Source organism: Homo sapiens (assembly GCF_000001405.40).
Source record: "Homo sapiens chromosome 16 unlocalized genomic scaffold, GRCh38.p14 Primary Assembly HSCHR16_RANDOM_CTG1".
Taxonomy (NCBI): Eukaryota; Metazoa; Chordata; class Mammalia; order Primates; family Hominidae; genus Homo; species Homo sapiens.
This window is the reverse complement of record NT_187383.1, coordinates 1211213-1217941: the sequence shown is the minus strand read 5'-3', so window position 1 is coordinate 1217941 and position 6729 is coordinate 1211213.

Sequence of the window (6729 nt, the reverse complement as noted above, 5' to 3'; positions counted from 1 at the left end):
TGGCCAGGCTGGTCTTGAACTCTTGACCTCAAATGATCCACCCGCCTCGGCCTCCCACAGTGCTGGAATTACAGGTGAGAACCACTGCACCCAGCCCCCCTTTACTTTTTATAAGTATTGATAGCTCCCTTTTCATGCCTGAGGTATTAATCTGAGTCTTCTCTTTTTTTTTTTTCTTGGTCAGTCTAGCTAAACAGTTGTCATTTTGTTGCTCTTTTCCAAGAAAAAACTTTTGGTTTTACTGACTTTCTCTATTTTTTCTATTTCCTATTTCATTTATTTTTACTCGTACCTTTATTATTTCCTTCCTTTGGCTTTCTTTTGGTTGAGTTTGCTCTTCTTTTTCTAGTTTCTTAAGGCAGAAGTTTAGATTATTAATTAGAAATCTTTCTTCTTTTCTAATATTGACGTAGTTACAAATGTCTCTCTAAGCACTGCTTTAGCTGCATCCAGTAAGTTATGTTATGTTGTGTGTTAGTTTCCATTCATCTCAAGATATTTTCTAATTTCCCTGTGATTTCATCTTTCACTCATTGATTATTTAGGAGTGTTTTAAAATTTCTACATATTTCTAGCCGGGCATGGTGCCTCACGCCTGTAATCCCAGCACTTTAGGAGGCCAAGGCAGGCAGATCACTGGAGGTCAGGAGTTCGAGACCAGCCTGGCCAACATGGTGAAACCCCGTCTCTATTAAAAATACACAAATTAGCCGGGTGTGGTGATACACTCCTGTGGTCCCAACTACTTGAGAGGCTGAGGCAGGAGAATCACTTGAACCCAGGAGGCAGAGGCTGCAGTGAGGCGAGATAGCGCCACTGCACTCCAGCCTGGAGGACAGAGCAAGACCCACCTCGAAAAAAAATAAATTCTACATATTTGTTAATTTCCTCGGTTGTCATTTTCTAATTTAATTCCATTGCAGCTGGGGAACAGCCTTTATATAATTTCAATCATTTTCCATTTATTGAGGCTTGTTTTAAGGCCTAGTATAAGTCTATCCTGAAGAGTGTGTCATGCGTAGCTGAGAACAATGTGTGTTCTGCTGCTGTGTGGAGTGTTTCGATGTCTTTCAGGTCTTGGCTTACAGTGTTGTTCAAGGCTTCTACTTCCTTGTTGATCTTCTGCCTCGTTGATTTATCCGTTATTGAAAGTGGGGGCTGGGAGCAGTGGCTCACGCTTGTAATCCCAGCAGTTTGGGAGGACGAGGTGGGTGGATCACGAGGTCAGGAGATCGAGACCATCCTGGCTAACACGGTGAAACCTCGTCTCTACTAAAAATACAAAAAATTAACCGGGCATGGTGGCGGGCACCTGTAGTCCCAGCTACTCGGGAGGCTGAGGCAGCAGAATGGCGTGAACCCGGGAGGCGGAGCTTGCAGTGAGCAGAGATCGTGCCACTGCACTCCAGACTGGGCAACAGAGTGAGACTCCGCCTCAAAAAAAAAAAAAAAAAGGAAAAGAAAGTGGGGTATTGAAGTCTCCAACTACTATATTGAATGGTCTAATTCAGTTCAGTTCCCTTCAGTTTTATTAGTTTTTGCTTCATGTATTTTGGGCTCTGTTGTTAGGAGTATATATGTTTACAATCATTTTATCTTCCTCATAAACTGCCTCTTTTATCATTATAAAAGATATTGTATCTTTAGTAACAATTTTTTTTTTTTTTTTGGAGACAGAGTCTTGTTCTGTCGCCTAGGCTGGAGTGCAGTGGTGCTATCTCGGCTCACTGCAACCTCTGCCTCCCAGGTTCAAGCAATTAGGAGCTCCTGTCTCAGCCTCTGGAGTAGCTGGGACTATAGTGCATGCCACCACGCCCAGCTAATTTTTGTAGTTTTAGTAGAGATGGGGTTTCACCATGTTGGTCAGGCTAGTCTTGAACTCCTGACGTCAGGTGATCCACACATCTTAGCCTCCCAAAGTGCTGGGATTACAGGCGTGAGCCACCTCGCCCAGGCTTCAGTAAGAATTTTTGTCTTAAAGTCTAATTTGTCTCACGCTTGTGTAGCCACCCTAGCTCTCTTTTAATAACTCCTCACATGGTTTCTTTTTGCATCCTTCTACTTTCAACTCTTGTGTCTTTGACTCTAAAGTAAATCTCTCACAGATCATTTTATTTTATTTTATCCATTCTGGGCTGGGCCCGGTGGCTCACACCTGTAATCCCAGCCCTTTGGGAGGCCCAGGTGGGAGCATCACTTGAGCCCAGGAGGTTGAGACCAACCTGGTTAAGATAGCATGACCTCGTCTCTACAAAAATTTTGTTTTTAAAATTAGCCAAGCGTGGTGGCGTGGCCCTGTAGTCCCAGCTATTTGGGAGGCTGAGGTGGGAGGATTGCTTGAGCCCAGGATGTCAAGGCTGCAGTGATCTAGGATCACACCCCTGCATTCCAGCCTGGGCAATTGAGCAAGTCCCAGTCTTATAAAAAGAAAAAAATAATAATCCATTCTGCCAATTTCTGCCTTTTGATTGGGGTGTTAAATTCATTTACATTCAATGTATCACTAATAAGCTAGGATTTATGTCTGCCATTTTGCTAATTGTTTTCATATGTCTTGCCTTTTTTGTTCCTCTATTCCTTGATTCTGCCTTCTTTCTTTCCTTCTTCCTTCCTTCCTTCCTTCCTTCCTTCCTTCCTTCCTTCCTTCCTCCCTCCCTCCCTCCCTCCCTCTCTCCCTCTCTCTCTTTCTTTCTTTTTTTTTTGGAGACACAGTTTCACTCTGTTGCCCAGGCTGGAGTGCAGTGGTGCCATCTTGGCTCACTGCAACCTCCGCCTCCCCAGTTCAAGCAATTCTCTTGCCTCAGCCACCCGAGTAGCTGGGATTACAGGCGTGCACCACCACCCCCAGCTAATTTTGTATATTTAGTAGAGACGGGGTTTCACCATATTGGCCAGGCTGGTCTCAAATTCCTGGCCTCAAGTGATCTCCCCACCCTGGCCTCCCAAAGTGCTGGGATTACAGGCATGAGCCACCATGCTTGGCCTTCTCTGATTCTTGAAGGGGCCTGAAGTAGATAGGGAATCCCTGCATTCCAATATCTGTTGTCAATGCAAAAATTTTCACGGCCAGTTCTCTGTCAGGGTCAGGGTCATGGGGAGGTTTCTTATGGGGCAAGGGTTGGGGTCAAGGAATTTGAGGAACTTGAATAGGGCAGGGCTGAGGAAATCAGAGCCTGGTCAGGAGCTAGACTTCTCCCTGTACCAGTGGGGGTGCTCGGGGATTATTGCAGGCCGTAAAGAAAGCTAAGCATTAGGCGAGGGACCACCAGAGAAGACAAAAGTGGTCCCCTTCCTCAAGAACTTAGAATTAAGATGATAAGGAGAGTGGGGTGCCGTGGCTCATGCCTGTAATCTCAGCACTTTGGGAGGCCGAGGCAGCAGGATCCATTGAAGCCAGGAATTCAAGAACATCCTGCACAAAGAAGCAAGACCCCATTTCTACAAAAAAATACAAAAACATTAGGCAGGAGTGGTGGTGTGTGCCTGTAGTCCAGCTAACTCAGGAGGCTGAAGCAGGAGGATCACTTGAGCACAGCAGTTAGAGGCTGCAGTGAGCTGTGTTCAGGCCACTGCACTCCAGCCTGGGTGACAGAGCAAGACCTGTCTCAAAAAAAAAAAAAAAAAAGATGATAAGGGAGCCTTCTGAGTAAAGAACAGCTCCACTCCACCTGTGGTGGAGCTAAGAGACCGCCATGTGTGCCTGCCCACACTCCTACCCGGGACAGCCTAAACCATCCACACAGGGAGGCGGGATCAGAATGTGGCTGTAACTTGGGGCACCGACGCCGCCTGGGTGTCCTGGACACAGCCTGGAGAAAGTCTAGAGACAGGGCTGTCACATCTAGAACAATGGTTTCTGATGAGCTTGGGAGCACCCTGTCCAAATTGAATCCTCCCTAGAAACCCAGCAATGTGAGACAGAACCAAGAGTGGCTCAGATGGAGGCCGTGGGAGCTTGGATGCCTGCACACTTGGTCCTCTCATATACCTGTTGGTGGTCACAACCCCATGGTGGCTCCAGGGAACACAGTTTGACCATCACGGACCTGGGTTTTAGAGTCAGGCAAGAGAGACAGAGGCTGGCAGTTGTGAGTGTCCGGCACTTGCAGGATTTGTGCCCACCCTCAGCGCTCACAGCCTGGTGGGAGGCCAGGCCCTGGTGCCCAAGGCAGCCCCTTCCCTACAGCTGGGACAGGAGGCCACAGGTTCTCAGACACCTGGTGCCTCCTGCTTCCCTGACTCTGATTCCTGGTCTCCCCAGTAGATGAGACTGAGACCACTGCGGCAAACACAACTCAACGTCCCTGTCCCTGCAACAGTTATTCCTATCGCTGTACTTAATAGACTGGCAGCCTCATCCATGCCTCCGTTTCTTAGAGGCTTGGCCAGCTGGTTTCAGCTCAGGCTCAGGACAGAGCCAGTCCGTGTGCCAGAAAATCAAGAAACACTCAGAGCCTGAGAACAGAGGATCAGAACTCAGATACCAGAGCACCACCAAGGAAGGAGGCCACCTAACCAGCTCCCTTGCCTGAGGCCCAAGAATATGCCCAACCTTCTAGTTACTTAAGTTCTCTGAGCCTTGGTTCCCCCATCTGTAAAATGGGGATGGTACAAAATTCAAGGTCTTCCGTAAAAATGAAATGAAACCGATGTTTGTGAAAAGTTATCTGCATACTGGCTGGCACCTAGTAGGTGCTCAGTAAATGTGCATTCCCTCCTCTTTCATCTCATGCTAGTGATTGTGATGAACTCACTGGGTCACAGTGAGGTCTCTGAGTCAGTTTACAGTAAAGACGTACTCTCTGAAAAGCACGTTCTATTGTTCAAGCCCCTATAATTGAGAAGGCCTCCTGCAGGAGTCAGGCAGGCCCAGACTGGGAAGCGGTAACTGCTAGGGTCTCAGGAGGAAGGAATTTCAAGCCAGGAGGCTTCAGGGAGGCAGTGGCCTGTGAGCTCTGGGGAGGTCAGTTTTGAGTCCACTGGAGACACGGTGGGGTCACAGGAAGCAAATGAGGACATCTTCTGGCCAGAAGGGACTCAGAAGGGGCTCTCCGGGGAGTGTGGAGAAGCCAGGCCCAAAGGGGCAGGGCACGGCTGCTGGGCAAAGTGCTGGCTCTCGAGAAGGGGCCGCAGCCTTCAGAGGCCTCAGCCTGCCCATGATGCTCCTCGGCCCCTTCAGGAAATCTGCCTTGCTTTATGGGACCTATTTCAGACTTCCTTCACTCTGCTCAGACATTCCCTGCCACCTTCATGCCCAGCAGAGGTCCTCACCTTCCACTTCACTGAGGAAAGAGCCATCAGCTGGGAGCAACCCCAATGACCTGCTGCCAACACTGCCTGCTAGTGTGCCCCTGCCACCTCCCTCTCTTCCTACTACACCTGGGGATGCATCTGCTAGGAGCACAGGCTACTGCTGCTTCATGGGCTCTGGGCCCAGCTCTTCCTCTCTCTCTGTCTCTCACCTGGATCATTCCCATTGGCAAGTAAATATGTGCTTTCATCTTTTTTTTTTGGTTGTTTGTTTTTGAGACAGGGTCTTGCTCTGTTGCCCAGGCTGGACTGCAGTGGCATGATCATGGCTCATCACTGCAGCCTCAACCTCCCAGGTTCAAATGATCTTCCTGCCTCAGCCTCCCAAGTAGCTGGGACTACAGGCATGCCCCACCATGCCTGGTTATTTTTGCATTTTTTGTAGAGTTGAGGTCTCACTATGTTGTCCAGGCTGGTCTCAGACTCCTGGGCTAAAGGGATTCTCCTGCCTCGGCCTCCAAATGTGTTGGGATTACAGGCATGAGCCACCATGCCTGGCTGCTTTCATCTTTTCATGAAAGTTTCCCTCAAGCCACATATTTTCCCATTTTGTTCTGTAAATATCTCTTCACAATCGGACTTCTCACAAGAGTGGTCTATGTATGCGCTCTTCCCTCCCTCACTTTATTAGCTCATTCCATCTGGTTTCTGCCTCCACTGTGCCTCCAAATCTGCCAGACAGATAGTCTATTTCTTCATTAGCTTAGTGTCTGTCTCTCAGTAGAAGATAAGCTTTGTGAGGGCAGGAACCTATCTGTTTGGCTCATTATTTATATTTTCAGTACCCAGCACAGTACTGATATAAAGTAGACATTCAACAAATATTTGTGGTATTATCATATGAATTAGCCCTATCTTTTTCAAAAGCATTGTTAGGTTTTGGTATCAGGGTAATGCTGGCCTCATAAATGAGTTGGAAAGTGTTTCTTCCTCTTCTATTTTCCTTCCTTTTTTTTGAGACGGAGTCTCGCTCTGTTGCCCAGGCTGGAGTGTAGTGGCACGACCTCAGCTCACTGCAACCTCCTCTTCCCAGGTTCAAGCAATTATCCTGCCTCAGCCTCCTGAGTAGCTGGGATTACAGGTGCATGCCACCACACCCAGCTAATTTTTTTGTATTTTTAGTAGAGATGGGGTTTCACCACGTTGGCCAGGCTGGTCTTTAACTCTTGATCTCAAGATCCGACCTCAGCCTCCCAAAGTGCTAGGATTACAGGTGTGAGCCATGGTGCCCAGCCATCCTCTTTTATCTTCCAAAAGAGATAGTGGAGAATTGGTATTATTTCTTAAATAACTATTTAAATATTTAAATAATTCAAATATTTAAATAACTATTTAAATATATCAATATTTAAAATTATACTATTTTCTATTTAGAATATTTTAAAATTATTAAAGTAAATTGTTTAAACATTTAAAAAA